Source organism: Homo sapiens, chromosome 17 (genome assembly GCF_000001405.40).
Source record: "Homo sapiens chromosome 17, GRCh38.p14 Primary Assembly".
Lineage (NCBI taxonomy): Eukaryota > Metazoa > Chordata > Mammalia > Primates > Hominidae > Homo > Homo sapiens.
In genome coordinates this window covers 8,858,330-8,877,354 of record NC_000017.11, presented here as the reverse complement: position 1 = coordinate 8,877,354, position 19,025 = coordinate 8,858,330, and the positions used below count along the sequence as shown (strand labels likewise).

At 49.6% G+C, this 19,025-nt stretch overlaps 1 protein-coding gene and 1 long non-coding RNA gene across 19 annotated transcripts in view, besides 7 other annotated features; one reads left to right on the top strand and one right to left on the bottom strand.

Moving 5' to 3' along the window:
• LOC107985071 (uncharacterized) lies at positions 8,322-9,581 on the bottom strand. The gene is made up of 2 exons (XR_001752787.2): positions 9,350-9,581; positions 8,322-8,823 (listed from the first exon to the last, which is right to left on the bottom strand). It is a non-coding gene; the product is annotated as an uncharacterized LOC107985071 (long non-coding RNA).
• Positions 9,553-9,702: an enhancer, noted in NCBI's record as "active region_11712". NCBI's record gives its function as "activates an Ori minimal core promoter by ATAC-STARR-seq in GM12878 lymphoblastoid cells {active_cell/tissue: GM12878}" and the evidence as "EXISTENCE:reporter gene assay evidence [ECO:0000049][PMID:35858748]".
• Positions 9,678-19,025, top strand: part of PIK3R6 (phosphoinositide-3-kinase regulatory subunit 6) — a 64,956-nt gene continuing 55,608 nt past the window's right edge. For 17 of the 18 annotated variants that reach the window (NR_110865.1, XR_007065269.1, XM_047435450.1 and 14 more), the window contains exon 1: positions 9,678-9,826. The gene's annotated coding sequence lies outside the window, so the exon portion shown is untranslated. The remainder of the gene's footprint in view (positions 9,827-19,025) is intronic. The other variant, NM_001010855.4, reaches the window with a different exon arrangement.
• Positions 9,733-9,912: an enhancer, noted in NCBI's record as "active region_11711". NCBI's record gives its function as "activates an Ori minimal core promoter by ATAC-STARR-seq in GM12878 lymphoblastoid cells {active_cell/tissue: GM12878}" and the evidence as "EXISTENCE:reporter gene assay evidence [ECO:0000049][PMID:35858748]".
• Positions 11,736-12,085: an enhancer, noted in NCBI's record as "active region_11710". NCBI's record gives its function as "activates an Ori minimal core promoter by ATAC-STARR-seq in GM12878 lymphoblastoid cells {active_cell/tissue: GM12878}" and the evidence as "EXISTENCE:reporter gene assay evidence [ECO:0000049][PMID:35858748]".
• Positions 12,196-12,335: an enhancer, noted in NCBI's record as "active region_11709". NCBI's record gives its function as "activates an Ori minimal core promoter by ATAC-STARR-seq in GM12878 lymphoblastoid cells {active_cell/tissue: GM12878}" and the evidence as "EXISTENCE:reporter gene assay evidence [ECO:0000049][PMID:35858748]".
• Positions 12,386-12,455: an enhancer, noted in NCBI's record as "active region_11708". NCBI's record gives its function as "activates an Ori minimal core promoter by ATAC-STARR-seq in GM12878 lymphoblastoid cells {active_cell/tissue: GM12878}" and the evidence as "EXISTENCE:reporter gene assay evidence [ECO:0000049][PMID:35858748]".
• Positions 14,956-15,035: an enhancer, noted in NCBI's record as "active region_11707". NCBI's record gives its function as "activates an Ori minimal core promoter by ATAC-STARR-seq in GM12878 lymphoblastoid cells {active_cell/tissue: GM12878}" and the evidence as "EXISTENCE:reporter gene assay evidence [ECO:0000049][PMID:35858748]".
• Positions 17,656-17,915: an enhancer, noted in NCBI's record as "active region_11706". NCBI's record gives its function as "activates an Ori minimal core promoter by ATAC-STARR-seq in GM12878 lymphoblastoid cells {active_cell/tissue: GM12878}" and the evidence as "EXISTENCE:reporter gene assay evidence [ECO:0000049][PMID:35858748]".

Here is a 19,025-nt window from a genome sequence, read left to right as displayed (position 1 = left end):
GCAGATTACGAGTTCAGGAGATCGAGACCATCCTGGGTAACACGGTGAAACCCCGTTTCTACTAAAAATACAAAAAATTAGCCGGGTGCGGTGGCGGGCACCTGTAGTCCCAGCTACTCAGGAGGCTGAGGCAGGAGAATGGCCTGAACCCGGGAGGCGGAGCTTGCAGTGAGCCGAGATCGCACCACTGCACTCCAGCCTGGGTGACAGAGCGAGACTCCATCTCAAAAACAAAACAAAACAAAACAAAAAACTTATAAACTGCTCACAAGGGACACACTTTAAATATAACATCACAGAAAGGTTGAAAGCAAAAGGATGGAAAGAATCACACCATGCAAAACCAACCAGATCAAAAAAGCTGGTGTTAACACACTAATATCCAAAGATGCAAAACCGGACCAAAAAAGCTGGTGTCAATACACTAATATCCAAAGATTTAACAGCAGAAGCATTACAAAAAATAAAGAGGAACATTTCATAAAGATTAAGGAGTCCAACAAAAGGTATTACAGTTATAAAGCTATATACACCAAATAACAACTGAAAATTATATATAAATATAAATACATGTCACTATATAAATATAAACTGTATATAAATATAAATATAAAACAAAAATGGACAGAACTAGAAGTCTCCACAACCACAGTGGTCAACATATCTCTCCCAATAGCTGATAGAACACATAGACAAAAAATTTTAATAGAGATATACAAGATCTGGACAACACAATTAACAAATTTGATGTTACTGAAATTGATAGAACATTGTGGCCCATTCTCAGCTCACTGCAAACTCCGCCTCCCGGGTTCAAAGGATTCTCCTGCCTCAGCCTCCCAAGTAGCTGGGACTACAGGCGCATGCCACCACACCCAGCTAATTTTTTTTATTTTTTTAGTAGAGACAGGGTTTCACCATGTTGTCCAGGCTGGTCTCGAACTCCTGACCTCAGGTGATCCACCCACCTCGGCCTCCCAAAGTGCTGGGATTACATGCATGAGCCACCACGCCCAGACAGAAGATTCTTTAAACCATACTTCACAAAAATCACTGGCTGACCTAAGAATGGATCCCCTATTGGTCAGACACATACCCTGGATACTATCACCATGAGCTGTAGGCGAATCCATGGGCCAAGTGGTTATAGGCTAAAGGGGCTCTGAGCCAGAATGTCTCATCCAGTCCATGAGCTTTTGTAATCCGAGTCATTGAACACTGAGGAAAGGGGCCGAGGTAGGGGACTGAAACTAGAATCCCCATTGGGTCCTGCTGTTGGCAGATGAAGAGAAAGGAGGAGGCTGTCCTTTTCAGCACCCCATCCTCCTCCTCAAGGTGGCCCCTCCTCCGCATGGTACCTCACCAAGAGCTCAGGAGCTGGCCATAAACTTGCAGACTCTCACCTCCCACTACTCACAGCAGAATTACTTCTGCCCTAGGCATGTTGACCTCCTGGTCTTGCCATCCCTGGAATGGGTATATTTCTCCAACTTTGGGAGGAGATAGGTGTCTCCTTTTGCCACTTCCTGCTTCCTAGAAGGCTGGGCAGGCCTCAGTTAGGGGACCAAAATCAAGCTGTGCACTGCGGGTCTCAGGGTTTGGGACCGTAGAAGGGAGCGCTCTCTTGGCCCCCAGTTCCATCATTCCTTCCTGCACCTGGCAGAACCCCTGTGGCCTTACATTTCCTCTGCTCCCTTTGTCGGATACGGCACTCTCTCAGGCTAAACCTCGGATCACAGGGAGGCCAGGGAGGAGCAGGAACGTTCACCCTTGGAGTGACCCTGGCCGCCTCCCGATGTCTCCAAGCCTCGCTTCCTTGCCTGTGAAAATGACACAGTGTCTACTTTCCGGGGAGTGTGTAGGGCTCATCAGGGGACGCAATGTGAAAGGGGATGGTGCTGCTGAGACTGTAGTCCAGGTAGCCTACCGGGCCTCAGGTGTAATGCTCAACCTTGTTTTTACTAACCCTGTTTTTAGACTCTCCCTCTTTCCTTTAATCACCTAGCCTTGGTTCCACCTGAATTGACTCTCCCTTAGGTAAGAGAGCCAGACAGACTCCATCTTGGCTCTTTCACTGGCAGCCCCTTCTTCGAGGACTTAACTTGTGCAAGCTGACTCCCAGCACATCCAAAAATGCAATTAACTGATAAGATACTGTGGCGAGTGATATCCGCAGTTCCCAGGAATTCGTCCGATTGATAACGCCCAAAGCCCCGCGTCTATCACCTTGTAATAGTCTTAAAGCCCCTGCACCTGGAACTGTTTACTTTCCTGTAACCATTTATCCTTTTAACTTTTTGCCTACTTTATTTCTGTAAAATTGTTTTAACTAGATCCCCCTCCCCTTTCTAAACCAAAGTATAAAAGAAAATCTAGCCCCTTCTTCGGGGCCAAGAGAATTTTGAGCGTTAGCCGTCTCTTGACCACCGGCTAAATAAACGGACTCTATTTTTTTTAAATAAATGAAGCCTATTTTATTACTTCAAGTGTTAATGATAAAAAAAATTTCAGCACAGCTGTTGCATTTTAAAAAGTGAAACTACATACTATGTTTCTAGCTCAGTAAACAGATGAACCTGATGTCTTTAAATGACATAACAATTGAGCATTGTACAGTACATCTTATGAAGACCCGTAAATTAAAGAACTACTGGTAATAATCACTAACTATAAACAGACTCTTAATTCATCTCAAAGTGTGGCGTTTTCTCTAACTCGCTCAGGTACAACACAGGGCTCCCTGTGAGCAGAAGCCTTACCGAGAGGGGGCTCCTCCAGACACAATGGCTTACACCTCTTTGTTCTCCTCAGGTAGCTGGGAGCTTCTTCTAGGGGCCGGAAGGTAGTGGTCTATCACCATCTTCAGACCTCTCCTTGAAGTCCCTGGCATCCCAGTCATGCCTCCCCCCGGGGAAAGGGCTCTCCCACAGCCTCCAGGGCAAGAAGCCCGCAGCCCCCTGTCTGCCCAAAGCAGAAGCAGCACAGTTTTCAGCCCCTGCGGCTCCAGGCACACCCGAGATGCTGTGTGGACCCAGCCAGCCTGGTGCCTGCCCTGGGCCTTCAGACTGCCCCTCCCGCATTGCCACACTGCCACCCACTCCAGCACCGGTAATGTTCACAGCTTCCCTGGGGAAAGGGCTCCCCCATTTTCTTGAGGAAGAATCCACTTCCTCCTTTCCCCAAGTCTCTGAATCCTTCTCTTTCTTCCCCCAACCATACCAGTAAAATCAGGGTAAAGGAAATGCCTCCTGGGAGAGGGTGCCATCCCCCATCCCTCTGGGGGCAAAGTGAGGCAGGTGGCAGACTCTGTCCCCAGGCGTGCCAGCTTGTTTCTCTCTGTTCTGTGCTCAGGCACACCTATGTCCCGGCTCGGACCACAGCCCCGGAGACTCTGAGTGTGGGCTCCCTGGAGACATGGCTGTGGTCACAGCAGGTACGTGTGTCTGCCACTCTTTGCACGGGGGGAGTGGGAAGAAATGGCGCTTGTTCGAAGGATCTCAGATATTTCCAGCTCAAAGGTGCAGCGTCTCAGTCATTGCAACCTGCACAGAGAATCACCTGTGAATGTCTGCGTCGAGTGAACTGACCTCTCAGCAAACACTTTCAGCACTTACTGAGCACGTGTCAGGCGCTGCTCTGTGTGCTTTACATGCTTACGTTAACTCATTTGTGCCACAGCCCCATGAGGTAGGTACAATTATGCTCCCTTTTACAGGCAGGGAAACTGAGGCAGAGACAAGTAACTTGTCCAAGCTCACAGAGACAGTAAAAAGGGGAATCCAGGATTTAAGCACAGACAGGTGGGGTCCAGAGTCCCTGCGCTTAACCACTAATCTCTGCTGCTCTCTGGAACCTCTCGTGTGGGTGGTGGGTAAGCTGAGGCCATGAAAAGGATCACACAGATGTCTGAGAAGAATGGCTTCGTTTCTAATGGAACGCTGGAGACGCTCTGATAGCTTCAAAATAGAAGCTGTGTTCACACACCCTCAGGAATGGTGGGAGTGGCAGGGGTGGAAAAGTTGGAGGGGGCATAGAGGAGGAGAGGAAGCTGGGGCCAGACTGGGTTGGCGGGACTCCAGGCTGGTCTGCGCGGACCACTGCTAAGGGGAGGGCAGTCAGGAAGGAAGCCCTCGGTGAATGGTGAATGTCGCTCCTGGCTCCAGAGCAGACTGAAGGGGGTCCCCCGAGACCTCTGGGGAAGAGGAGGGAGGGAGCAGAGCGGCCCCCACCCCCACACACCCAAGGAAGGGGCCCTTGCAACCAGGGACCAGAGGCCTTCTCTGAGCAAAACTGTAGCCGAAAGTCTCTGAGGCCAGAACAGAATCGTTTTGGGGCTGAGAAAGCTGAGGAGGGCTTTGCAAACCCAATCTGCAGCCCCTCAGGTTACAGAGGAGGAAACTGAGGCCCAGAGACTGGGAGAGGCCTGCACAGGGTCACACAGAGTGAGAGGCACGTGCCAGGATGAGGGCCCAGCCAGGTAGCCTGGCTTACTTTTGGGGGTGTAGCTCAGTGTGTGCATGCGTGCGTGTGTGTGTGTGTGTGTGTGTGTGCGTGTGCACATGAGTGGGTGTGTGGTCCTGCACATGTTTGGAGGGCAGGCAATTTGCATAAATAATGCAAGTTGGGGTCTTTGCGTTTTCTCACTGATTTCCTGGTTGACCCCAGCCATCTTGATTTGTTCCACTTCCTGGTGTGAGTTCATTTGGAAAAAGAAAATGGAGAGGGTGATATGCATATCATGCAGATGAAGAGACTCCTAACACCTCCCCAGCTCAGCTCCACCAGCAAAAGCCTGTCCAAGGAGGAACCTGCGGTATTAGGGGCAGAGGGAGAGGAAGCAGGGGTCCACTTGGTCTCCCTCTCAAGGCAGCCATGAGAACAGGGGAAATGAGAAGAGACCAGGCCCCGCCCTCCACAGCAACCCCAAAGTGTCTGCCCTCTCACCTCATCACAGAGCTGCCAGTACCAAGGAGTTTGGGAGAGGGGACAGTTGCACCCGCAAAAGAGAAGGAGGAGGTCACAAGGTTTTCTTCACCTGAAGGGCAGCTTTCGGAAGAGGGAGTGACTGATCTTCTCTGTGTCCTTCCCATTTCGAACCCTGTAAATGTGTAACTAGTCCAAACAAACATGTACATTTAAATGTAAGAAAAGAATGTGGTTGATCCTTATGTACCAATATATCGTGATCTTCAAGTAAACAAAGCAAGTTAAAGAGCGATTTGTATGGTGCTCACATGTATAAACTACCCTAAGCTATTTACCATGGTTATCACTGGGTGGGAGGGTAAAGAAATTGAGGAGGGGGAGGAGAGAGACCCTCCTTTTTTCCTCTTAGGGTCCTACAATGCTTGAGTGTTTTTATAATGGAAATATATTTATGGATTACCTAAGTAGTTTTTGTTCTTCTTGTTGTTGTTTGTTTGTGACGAAGTCTTGCTGTGTCACCCAGGCTGGAGTGCAATGGCACAATCTTGGCTCACTGCAACCTCTGCCTCCCAGGTTTGAGTGATTCTCCTGCCTCAGCCTCCCAAGTAGGTGGGATTACAGGCACCGGCCACCATGCCAGGCTAATTTTTGTATTTTTAGTAGAGACGAGGTTTCACCACATTGGCCAGGCTGGTCTCGAACTCCTGACCTCAGGTGATCCACCTGCCTCGGCCTCCCAGAGTGCTGGGATTACAGGCATGAGCCATCGTGCCTGGCCTACTTGACTAGTTTTTTAAACATTACAGCTTAACAAAAAAAGAACATTGATGGCATTTAAAATAAAAACTTCCCCACCACCACCAAAAATAAGAAAAATAGCTGAGAAGGTGACTGGTTGGATATGAAGCATAAATCCGCTTCTTCTATCACCCCAATTAGTCCTGATTCTGCATGCACTCTGCCAAATAACGCTGCTGGAAGTAAAGGATGGAAAATTCCCGAGGTGTGCACTGTTCCTCCCTTTCCACAGCCACAGCAGACAGTACTAGTTGATAACGGATTTCCAGGGCAATGCTGATGCTGCCAGTCCAGGGACTACCCTTAGCGAACCAGTGGCTTAGAGCATGACGCTGTCCTGCCTGCCTCTGGGCCGTGGGCAAGAGCTGGAGGGACTGCACCAGAGGCAAAGGTGCCCCGCAGTTGGGTACTGCCTGTGCCGAGGCAGTGTGTCGAGTCTCACCTCCACCAGGGATGAGAGCGTTTAAACTTAACCTATCTGTGTAACTGTAGCTGACTCACGAGGTGATTGTTTAAACGAATCAAAATGTGTTTTCCTAACAGCTCTTTTCTGGTTTATTACCTCTCACGGTTTTCTAAAAATGGGTCCTGCCAACCAGAGAGCTATCTGTGTGGGTGGCAGTCATGAATTTGGGGTAGAAAAGTGGGGAGTTGAGAATTAGAATGGAATTACAGTGCTCTGAATGGGCTTCGAAGACAATTTGGATATGTCTGTGAAAAAAATCTAGGAGGGAGGAACCGACGCTAATGAGTCAGGGTCACATGGGGAGAAGAGAGACAGGAAAAAGCACAAAAGCCCACCCCATTCCAGGCTGCCCGCTCCAATGGCATGGCATGGAGGAGGGACGTCGGGATCCTCAGAACTATCCACAGAGGATTTTTGAATAGTTTGCCAAGAGACGTGTGATGTACACTCCCTTCATCCTCCTACATAATCTTTAGTAAAATTGACTTTGCTTATTAGTATTTTATGTAAGTGGATTCCTTAGAAAACTGAAATGACAAATTCTGCCGCCTTCGATGCTGAATAATCCCAGAGCAGCTCCCACGGTGGGTGGCACTGCAGGTGAGGACACAAGCGACCCTGGGGACCTCTTTTCCTAAGCATGTAATTCTTGCCTGACTCCAATACTGTGGTCCTGCAGACCTCCGCAATGCTGGTACCTGGCCCTCCTCACCCGTGGCTCTGTCCACAGTTGCAAGAAGATTTAATTTTTGTTTAAAGCTCTCAGTGGCTTTGTAATGGATTAGAAAATGGATGAGGATGGATTGGAAACAGTGGTTCATCTGTAGAGAAGGTAAGTAACTTTGTAACCCCAAGGCGAGTTATGTAAACAGACTTCCAAACACCCTGGCTGAGATAGGAGAACCTGAAGAGAGGCCATTGCAGCTATGCCCAGAAGGGTCACCAGGAGTGGGGACCCTCACTTGGCAGAGGAGGGTGGCAGAAGGAGGAGGAGGAAGGGGAGTGACAATAGATGGTGGGCCTTCTGCTTCTGTATCTTGGGCATTGATCATTCTGGGGGGTCTTTGCCTCCATTAGCTGACCAGGTCATCTGGGAACTAGTACAGTGAAAGCAGGGAACCTTAATTTTTACAGTTCTGATGCTGACGGATCATTTGCCTTTTGGCAGGGAAAGAGGGGGCTGCTCTTTGGAGACTGGTGCAGATGAGAAACCTGGTAAGAGCACAGCCTGGAAAACCCAGATTAAACAAATCCTAAGAACATGGTCTGGAGAGGAAAGACATGGCTGGGATTGGCAAAAGGGGTAGTGCTGCCTTGCCTTGGTGATGGTAGGGACGGTGCACTGGGGTCCGTGGGGGAACTTGGTCCTTCCTATTGTCACCTCCTCCTCCCACTGTCCTTTGTTCCTGGCTGGCGGTCAGCCGTGTGCACTCAAAAATGAAAGCACCCTAGCTCCTCTTTGCAAGGGACAGCTCTGGGGCTCTCTATGGTCACCAAGCTGCCCCCTCTATGGGTACCACAGCAAATGCAGTTGCAGAAATGGCAGCTGATGATAAAGAGAGCAGTGCACCCACAAGAAGTGACCTCGGCTTGTGATTTCCGATTCAGTTAAGCCAAGGCTGATAAGGAGAGGCGCTGCCCAGGGTGGCCACACTGCCCAGCTGCTGCTGAGTCTGGAACCTGCAGGGGCTGAGTTCTTGGTCCTTTATTCTGTCCTGGGCGTATTCGTTTCCTTCGTTCAGTCACCCATTTGCTTCATAAATAAGCCAAGCATTCTCTTAACACTCTTTCACCCTGTGATGGACGGAATAATGAACAACACTCTAGCCCCTGCTCTTTCAGGACTCATTGAGGGAGGAACAAGGCAGACATGTGAGCTGAGAACGCTAATACAAAGATGCAAGATAGAATGTGACTTCAGTCACATGAAGGGGACAGAAAAGAAGCAGTTATGGGAGGAAGGCACAGCAATAGAGTAAATGATTTACATTTCTGGACTTTTTTTCCAAATAGCTTCCTCTGCAAAATGAAAGGTCAGCATAGAACCTAGTCAAGCCCCTACGGGAAAGGATCAGTGACTTCACAGCCCCAAAGCTCTCTGAGTTGAGCCAAGTGACAAACTCCAACAGGCTTAATCCAAAAAAGAATGGAATTTATTGGATCATGTACAATGAACAGTCCAAGAGTAGATTCAGCCCCAGAATTTCAGGCATAGCTGGATCCAGCACTCAAACCCTGCTGTCAGCAATCTGTCACTCTCTAGAGCCATTTACCCATTAGGCCCAACGGGATGACAGCATAGAATCTGTGAGTTTTTCAAAGCTCTAGAAATGTGTCAGAGACTCTCCCAAATAGTGTTTGACTTCAAAATGTGAAAAAAAGAAAATGACAAAGTAGCAAATGTGTCACCATGCGGTTGATCAACTTCCCCCAGCAGGTCTACTGTTCCTGCCCAGCACTGCTCTCTCCTAATTGCCAAGGACAGCAGATGCTTCTTCATTCTCTTCACCTGTGTCCTCTCCACAATCATTGGCGTCGTTGACCATTGTCTCCTCCTTGGCATTCTGTCTTCTGCCAGCATCCCTGGCACTCCACTTTCCTCCTGCCTCTTAGGCTTGTTTTTTTGTTCTTCTCTGATAAATAATGAATGACAAGGGATGAGCCAGGAGAAGGGTTGGGAAGTGATTCCCACAGCCTGGATAGTTAAGAGACTGCAGTACTTCTGGGAGGGGCTGGAGTGAGGGGATAAAGCATGAGGTTGGAGTTTAGGGAGGGACCAGATCAAGAAGGGTCTGGCAAGTCACACTGAGGAGTTTGGCCATTCTCTTTAAAGTAATAAGGAGCCATTGAAGGTTGTAGCAGGAGTGTAACATGAATAGATTTGTGTTTCACTCTTAGAAAGAGACCTTTGGCTGTGGGGTGAAGGACCTCAGGCTATTGTAGTGTTTCAGGAGAAAGACCATGGTAGTCAGGTGAAACAGTGACAGCCATAGGGATGGAAGAAAGTGGAGGATCCATGACCTATTGACAGGGCTTGGTGCAGTTTAGATGTAACAGGCGAGGAAGAGGGAGGCGTTAGGATGATACCGAGGTTGCTGATTCTGAGGCAGGAAACAGAGAAGTGGGCTTAGAGGGAGAAATGATGAGCTCGGTTTGTACCTGTTGAGATGGAGGTGCTTGAGGGACATCTGGCTGGCCATGTCCAGGGGTGGGGGATGGTTGGTGAGTCTGGAGCTTGAGAGAGAGGTCAGGGCTCCCTGCATCAGTCCCTCCCCCGTCAACACCAGAGGGAGTCTCTTGGGAGGTGTCCCCCTCCTGCCCCATAAAATTGGTCACATTCGATCAGAATAAAGGACCTCCAGTGACCGTGGGTCATGCTTCTTTAGAAAGGATCCTCACAGCAAAATGCATTCTGGGAGGAGCTTCGAGGGCCACAAGGAAGGGGAAGGAAGAGGAGGGGACAGAGCTGTGAGACATCGAGCTTTTCTTTGCAGATCTGAAGAGCACAGTCAAGACCACAGACACCCGTGGAGGCTCCCCCAAGACATCTGCTTCTCTGGGACTGGGGACCTCGCTCAGGACCGTGGGGAGTTGGCTGAAGGACTTGGGGAGCCCAGAAGCTGCCACCGAACCAAGGTAAGTGCTGGCTTGGATGGAGATCGCCAGGCAGGCAGATCTGAGCAGAACAGATAGAGGGGTGGAACGGAGGGACCTGGAAGGGGAGCCCCTGGGGGGGCTGAAACACCCCTGGCTCTTATTTATCCAGGCTCAGGGCTGCCAGGGCCGTCTTTCTGAGAAGGGTGACCTCAGACACTGCAGGGTAATTCTGCCAAGTTAAGATTGTTTCAGCCCATTTTCACAAGATGAAAAGACACGGGACCCTGTGAGAAGGACTCTCCTTTCTTCTGGAATCCTGTACATGCTGTTAATAATAGGACTAATGATTGATGCCCGGTGCTGCAGAGTACACCCATTTTCCCATTTGATTCTCACCAGCATTTAGAGGTTGACTGGATAAGTGTTTTAGTGCCATTTTATAGAACAGAAGACTGAGGCTTAGGGAGATGAAGCAACTTGCCAAAGATTGCAGAGTGGGTTAGCAAGGAGCAGGACTCAGTGTGAAACATCTGGGTCCCAGTCTGTGCCCTTTCTGGGACATCATCTGCCCATCACTTTCCTGGGGAATTTGGTGAAAGTCATGCTGGTCTGGCTGATTCTCTTCCTATACACAAATCCAGTATCTTCTATGTGTGCCAGAGTCTGACCGAGGCCTGGTCTCTGTCCTTGAAGGGCTGACTGCTTGCAAAGAGGGTCTGAACACAGCTGCGAGTGACCAACTCAGAACCTTCAGGGTCCTCAGCGAGCCAGGAGGTGTGTGGTGTGTGCAGGATGAAAGAGACTGCAGGGTGCGGGCTCAGGGAGGGTCCCGTGGAAGGTGGTGCCTGGCTGAGGCTCAAGGGAGGACCTGGTGTGCAAAGAGGAGGCAAGAGGCACCTCAGCAATGGGGAGCAAAGTGTGCAAACCCCCAGAGGCAGGAAAGCAAGTGGGAAAGTCAGGTGTTGGGGGGAGCACAGCTAGAGGGGGTGTGTGGAGCACTCGCAGGCCGGTCCTTTTTTGTTGTTGTTGAGACAGTCTCACGCTTTTGCGCAGGCTGGAGTGTAGTGGTGCGATCTCGGCTCACTGCAACCTCCGTCTCCTGGGTTCAAGCGATTCTCCTGCCTCAGCCTCCCAAGTAGCTGGGACTACAGGCACACACCACCACGCCTGGCTAATTTTTTGTATTTTTAGTAGTAATTTTTTGTGTTTTCACCGTGTTAGCCAGGATGGTCTTGATCTCCTGACCTCGTGATCCACCCACCTCGGCCTCCCATAGTGCTGGGATTACAGGCATGAGCCACAGCGCCTGGCCCGGTCCATTTATTTATTTAGCTCTATGTGGTTTTCAAATATCATCTCATTTAGTCTCATGACAAGCCTATGAGGTAGGTGTTGTTGTCAGGTCCCCTTTAAGATAGGGAAACTGAGGCACGGAGGTTTTAAGCAAGCAGCCCAAGTTGCCCTATTAACAGGATTGGAATGCCACCTGCCTGGCCACCATGCCCCGCTGCCTCACACTAGAACCTGCTGCAGGCCCTACACTGTCTCCACGAAAGCGCCTCGGCTGACACGGTGGCTGCAGATGCCAAGCTGCAGTCATCGCCATCTGGTCCCTGCTGCATTCAGGCCCCACCTGAATTCAGATCCCACCAAGCTTCCCTGCCCCTGGGAACAATGCTCCCCCACCCCCACCCCACTGGCTCTTTCATATCCAGGTGTTTCCTTCCAGCCAGAAGCAGACACAGCTGAGGAAACAGGCCTGTCCTTGTCCACGGGGGCCAGCCAGGGCAGCAGGACCCTCACCTCCCGGCTCCTTGGGAATCTGAGAAGTAGACCTCATGGGGGCAAGGGCTAAAGGTTGAGGGGGCCCCCTCAGGACCCAGAGCTCTGTCCTCTCACTCCCTTAGTCCCTCACTGCCAGCTCACTCACCACACGCTCCGATCCAAAAAAAAAAAAAACACAGCTATGACGTCTGGCAAGCCTGAGCTGCCCCTGAAACCCTGAGGGCACGAGGCAGCTCTGGTGGGAGAAGAGGGGAGGCAACAGAGGCAGGTGACCCAGGCTCTGCAGGTCCCCTCTCTCTGTGCCACAGGAGTGGCTGGAGGACAGGAGGCAGACAGAGTGTGGCCCTGGGAAGCTCCCCGTCTTTTCTGCCAGGGCTTTATTCCTGCAGCTGTGGTATAGGGAGGCCTGGAAGCTCCACATCTTTTCTGCCCAGGCTTTATTCCTGCAGGTATAGGGAGGCCTAGGTGGTGGGTTCTTCTGTCTGAACAGCTTGTCCGAGAAGCCAGCAATGGTGAGCTGGGGGGATGGGGGCACAAGGGACAGTCAGATCTGGAATCTTCATGTTCAGAATCTTCAGGTTCAGAAACTCTGAACCTGAGCCAGGCTTCCTCAGATCTTCCTCCAAGCCCTCTTACTTCAGTCTTCTCCTCTATCCAGGAGGTCACCCCCACTTTATCTCACACCAACAACAGGGAGCAGCAGCTGTGAACAGGTGGTCCCCATTTGCTTCTTTTTGCCGTGTCCATAGAAGGCTTCTATGGTTCTGTGGTCAGTCCTTGGGCTTGTTGTACCCCAAGGGAGTGATGAGCTGTGTGTGTGCACCTGGCCTGCGACTTGTTCAGTGCTGATGTTCTGTGTTTAAGGAAGAATGCTCTCTGAATCCCAATTCATTCATCCCTTCATTCTTTGTCTCTGATCTCATCCCTCTGCCAGGAACTGTGAAGGGGCTGGGTGCGGTGGCTCACGCCTGTAATCCCAGCACTTTGGGAGGCCGAGGTGGGTGGATCACGAGGTCAAGAGATCGAGACCATCCTGGCCAACACGGTGAAACCCCGTCTCTACTAAAAATACAACAAATTAGCTGGGCGTGGTGGCGGGCGCCTGTGGTCCCAGGTACTCGGGAGGCTGAGGCTGGAGAATCACCTGAACCCAGTAGGCAGAGGTTGCAGTGAGACGAGATTGCGCCACTGCACTCCAGTCTGGCGACAGAGTGAGACTCTGTCTAAAAAAAAAAAAAAAAAAAAAAAAAAAAGAGCTGTGAAGGACCTGGGTTATAAGTTAGAAGGATCTGTTAGTTATAAGTTAACTTAGAACTAACAAGTTAGCCCACCACAGCTTCATGGTCACCAGCAGAAGACATGAGACTCCAGAGTCAGAGACAAAGAACTCTATTACTCACAGCACAACTAGGAGCATGAACATTGTGATTATAGGTCCCCCTTTCCCCTAAGTCCTAGGGGCGCCGCAAGGAGCCCAATCCAAATGGACTCTGTTGCATCATAGCCCAGGAACCCTGAGCCTAGGAAACCCCAAATTTTCATGACGAGCTGCAAACAAACCTGCCCAACTTTTACCCTGAAAGGAGACATTATCTCTATTATATTGACAGCAAATTAGTCTTCTGTCCTAGAATGGACAGTATCTTCCAAGGCTGTTTGCTATACAAACGTATTTGAAAAGATGGTGCAGAAGAATGCTCACCAGGCATGCACAAACAGAAACCTATGGAGAATTGTCTCCCAACATCTTCCTAGTGTCCCCCACTCATTGCACCCCAAACGCTGTCCCTTAAAAACACTGGGCACCCTTGCAACTCAGGACTTGGCTATTCTCTTTGCTTAGAGCGTTCTTCCTGCAGATACCGCATGGCTTGCTGTCGGGCCTTTTTTAGGTTCCCACTCAAATGGCACCTCCTCAGGAGATCTCTCTCATCATCCTTTTGGAAACTGGCCGGGCGCGGTGGCTCACGCCTGTAATCCCCAGCACTTTGGGAGGCCGAGGCGGGTGGATCACGAGGTCAGGAGATCGAGGCTATTCTGGCCAACATGGTGAAACCCCATCTCTACTAAAATACACAAAATTAGCTGGGCGTGGTGGTGTGCACCTGTAGTCCCAGCTACTCGGGAGGCTGAGGCAGGAGAGTCGCTTGAACCTGGGAGGTGGAGGTTACAGTGAGCCGAGATCGCACCACTGCACTCCAGCCTAGGTGACAGAGCGAAACTCTGTCTCAAAAAAAAACACACACACACACACTTGGGGGTTGGGGGAAATAGGGAGATGCTGGTCAAAGGGTATGAAGTTTTCATTAGATGGGAGGAATACGGTTTCTGAGATTCATTGCACATTAGGGTGACTATAGTTAATAATGGTGTATTGTATATTTCACAATTACTAAGAGAGTAAATATTTCAAATGTTTTCACCAGGAAAAGGATAGGTATTAGATGGATATGTTAATTAGCCTTATTTCATCACTCCACATTATATACGTCTATCATAATATCACTTTGTACCCCATAAATATATGCAATTATAATATATCAATTGACAATAAAATTTAAAAGTTTAAATTTAAATCTATATTTAAATATCTACATATCCATGTATCTATATCTAGACACTGCACACCCCTCCCCAACTCTAGAACCCCTCCTTCCCCTTCCCAACTTTATTCTTATAGCACTTATCATATACGATTTAATTATTTGGTTGATTTTCTGTCCCCTACACACCCACTAGAGTGCAAACTTTCTGAGAGCAGGCATTTTGTGTATTTTAACTTATTGCCACATCCCTGGGACCTGGAACAATGTCTGACACATAGAAGGTGCTCAGGAACTATGGAATAAGTGAAACCATGAGTGAATGCTGTGGGCAGTGTAAGTGAGTGGGCACAGTGGGTGGGGAGTGACCACAGGACATCTCCCAGGTTGTTGGGATTTGTCCCTCAGCCACTTTCCCGCTGCCTATTTTGGCTGCCAGGAGTCTTGCTGACTGTGGGCGGAGGATGGTGTATTGCTGTCCTGTAATGTCGTATTCTTGCGCTACGGGGGGAGGGAGAGGAATTTTTAGATGAGCCCTGACATGCTCATCTAAAACATGCTCATGGCATGTTTGATTGGTCAGTACCTTGCACATTGCCCTTGTGGCACAAAAGCAGCAGTCAAACATTGCAGCCTTAGCTGTCCGTGATACGGCCCGAGAAAGATCAGCCACCCCCAGGTGACAGAGGTAGCTGCCAGGTCAGTGAGGCACAATGTCCTTCTCACCATTGTGTCTGTCTCCACATTTCTTATGGGACCAGTGTCTTCTTTGCAGTATTCTGAGCATCAAAGTAATCTCTGTTTCCTGTGTCATTTATTGTAGCAACCATGCCCAACAAACTTGTTTCTGTCATCCAGCCCAAGAGTAGCTTTGGGACAGTGACTCTGCCTTGTCTTCATATGAGTGCCTGACATTCATTCATTCGAGCATATTTATCAAGGGCCTTCCATGTGGTATAAACAGTGTCAGGTAATGGGGACTCAACAGTGAGCAAAATGGAGCCCCTTCCCATGGGGAGCTTATATTTTAGTGACAGCAGCCAGATAATAAACAAATGCAATAGCGTAGTCCCCTTACCTGCAGGGGACACACTCCAAGACCCCCAGGGGATGACTCAGACCTCCAATAGTACTGAACCTGGCTGCTGTCAATCAGAACACATTTCTGCTCAGGTCTTGCACCCACACATTTAATGCCCTTTCTATCTTAATGAAGCACTTATCATACACTGTGGCCATAACTTTGCAGTTTCAGCTGAGACAGCAAAACTAGCAAAAATTTGTTTTTCCTTCACAATTTCATGGCTAGAAGATTTGTTCTTACCATAGATCTTAGCTACTTCAACATACGACTTTTTTCTTTCCTTGTTAAGATGAGAACTTTCGCCTTTTCACTCACTTCAAGGAAGCACTTGACAGCTTCTCCTTGGCTGACTGACAGCAGCCAGGTTCAGTACTATTGGAGGTCTTAGGCATCCCCTTGGCATATCTCAATTGCCAGCATCACTTCTCTTGCAACTTGGGGCCATGAGTAAGTAAAATAAGGGTGACTTGAACACAAGCACTGTGATACCACGACAGTTTATCTGATAACCATGATGGCTAGCAAGTGGCTTACAGTCAGGTAGCACACACTGTGTACACCCACTGAACAAAGGGACGCTTCACATTCCGGGCAGGACAGACCAGAACGGTGAGAGGTTTCATCATGCTCCTCAGAACAGTGTGCAATTTAAAATTTAGGAGTCATTTCTTTCTAGAATTTTTCATTTAATATTTTTGGACCACAGTTGACCTTGAGCAACTGAAATTGCAGAAAGTGAAACTGCAGATAAGGGAGGATTGCTGTATAGGGCATCGGGTGCTAGGGAGAAGTACAGAGATGCACTGTGTTTGTTGAAAGACTTCTATGGGCCCTGTGTGGCAACCCTAATGCCCAGCCCATTTCAGACATTCTGCAATTAACTTTTCTCTTTGTGAACCACAACTTGAACCACAATATAGAACATGGATTGCCAACACGTCTGCTTTCTTTCTTTCTTTTTTTTTTTTTTTTTTGAGACAGAGTCTCACTCTGTCACCCAGGCTGGAGTGCAGTGGCGCGATCTTGGCTCGCTGCAACTTCTGCCTCCCAGATTCAAGCAATTCTCCTGCCTCAGCCTCCTGAGTAGCTGGGACCACCACACCCAGGTAATTTTTGTATTTTTAGTAGAGACGGGGTTTCACCATGTTGGCCAGGCTGGTCTTGAACTCCTGACCTTGTGATCCACCTGCCTTGGCCTCCCAAAATGCTGTGATTACAGGCGTGACCGTGCCCGGCCCGTGTCTGCTTTCAAGAGCCCAATAGGTAGCATAAATGATGATGTGGACAGGCTGATAGTGCTGGTGTGGTGTGCCTGGCACTGCCCCCGGCTTCAGAGTCCCCATTGTGAACTCAATAGGGACACTGAAGCCCTGGGGAGCACATGGCCCTTCTACAGGGAAGCTGCATGTCAACTCCAGCTAATTGTTGCCACACGAGATTGTGGGTCTGGTGTTGCTAGATCTTCCAGTTACTTATTTTAAGCAAAAGCTGGAAATCTTGATTTTTATATGAAATATGACTTTTAAATGTTGGCCACAGATTCAAATTTCCAAAAACTGTGGCTTCTCCTGGGGAAGGAAACTGATGGGCCAGAGCAGTGGTCCCCAACCTTTTTGACACCAGGAACCAGTTTCATGGAAGGCAATTTTTCCACGGAAGGGGTTTGGGGGTGGGTAGGGGTTTACTGGGTGGGGAAGGGGGCTGGGGCTGGGGCTGGGGATGGGGATGGATTCGGGATGAAACTGCTCCACCTCAGATCATCAGGTATTAGATTCTCTTAAGAAACGGGCAGCCTGGATCCCTTGCATGCGCAGTTCACAATAGGGTTCGAGCTTCTATGAGAATCTTATGCCCACACCGCCCCCCGCCCCAGGAGGCGGAGCTCAGGCGGTCCTGGTGGCTCACCAGCCACTCACCTGCTGCTGTGTCCCTAGTTCCTAACGGCCCACGGATCAGTGCCCATCCGCAGCCTGGGGTTTGGGGACCCTTGGGCCAGAGGATAGCTAAGAAGGAGTCTGGCTTTTCACTGCATAGCTATCTGTGCCTTTCAGATTTTTACCATACGCATGGTTTTTTATGTGAAAAGTGAATTTTAAAAATATACTAGACAGAGCAAAGTCTCTGAGAGTCTCTTACATGAGTCTGCGAAATGGTTAGTCTTCTTAAGCATTGTATTAGTCAGGCCACTCCAGAGGAACACAACAAATAGGATAGAGAGAGAGACTGGGAGGTGGGTGGGGAGTGGGTAGAGAACAAAAGGATGTATTAGCAGGGATTGGCTCCTGTGATTGTGGAGGCTGAGAAGTCTGTAATCCGTGGTCTGTAAACTAGAGGCCCAGGAAAGTCAGTGGTGTAATTCCAGTCTGAGTCCAAAGGCCTGAGAACCAGGGAAGATGACGGCGTCAGTCTCAGTCCAAGTCCGAAGGCTGGAGAACCAAGAGCGCTGATTTTGTCCAAGGGCAGGATGGATGTCCCAGCTGAAGCACAGAGAGCACATCTGCCCTTCCTCCTCCCTCTTCTCCTATTCAGGCCCTCAGCAGATCACGTGATGCCCACCCACATGGCTGAGGGCAGATCTTGACTCACTCCCTGCATTCAGATGCTCATCTTTCCTGGAAATAGCCTCATGGACACCTCCAGAAATAATGCTTCACCAGCCATCTGGGCCTCCCTTGGCCTGGTCAAGTTGACACATAAACCATCACAAGCATGCTGCGTGCATGGGGCGGTGAGACAGTTTCAGTGTGCTAATGGTGGGCCATAGGTGTGTGACGTCTGTTCCAGGGGTCTTGGGCAAGTACAGCCACCCTGCGGTCATTATGAGGTGACAGACTGGTAGACCACGCACCCCAGGGGGCAAGGACTATGTCTCATTCATTCATCTCTAACCTCTCAGGTCTTGTGCAATTTCTGCCCCATGGATTATGTTCTGAAGAGGCTCTTTGATTTACTCACCAACCTCAGCCACCCAAAACACTGCCAGGAACTCAGAAGACAGCCAGAGGGCCCTCTGAGCAAATAGAAGTTGCAAGTCCATGGATGGAAGTTTGATGCTCTTTTCATTGATCAGTTCTCAGGCTTTGTTTCTTCATTTTACATACAAGACAATTGCATGTGCTTATTCCGGCTTCCCAGCCTTCAGCAAACTGGCAGTTGGGTGGAGGAGCAGACACAGCCCAGGCAGGGCTGCAGCCAACACAGAAGGCACTTTGTTCAAATCAGAAAGAGGCACCCCTCTGAGTAGACAAATTACAGCAAGTTCCTCTTTGGATGGATGAATTGCAAAACCTCACCCTCCCTGCCTGAGTAAATTACAAAAAGGCCAGCAGAGCGGTGGGCTGGACTGCAGCCTCCACTCACCCACTAAGTGCAGAACACAGCTGGTGCTGCTGAAATGAGGAATCATACATGAGAAGTCAAACAGTAACAGCCACTCAATGTAGGATAGGGCTACCCTCGCCTACTGATAGCTCCTGCCATCGCCACCGTTTTATGGCACGGTGCATACAATGAGCTTCCATTGAGACTCATTGAGAAAACAGCCAGGCGCCTGGCTCACGCCTCTAATCCCAGCACTCTGGGAGGCCGAGGTGGGTGGATCACCTGAGGTCAGGAGTTCGAGACCAGCCTGGCTAACATGGCGAAACCCTGTCTCTACTAAAAATACAAAAATTAGCCAGGGGTGGCGGCGGGTGCCTGTAATTCCTAGCCTCAGGGAGGCTAAGGCAAGAGAATCGTTTGAACCCAGGAGGCGGAGGTTGCAGTGAGCCGAGATCGCGTCACTGCACTCCAGCCTGGGCGACAAGAGCAAAACTGTCTCAAAAAA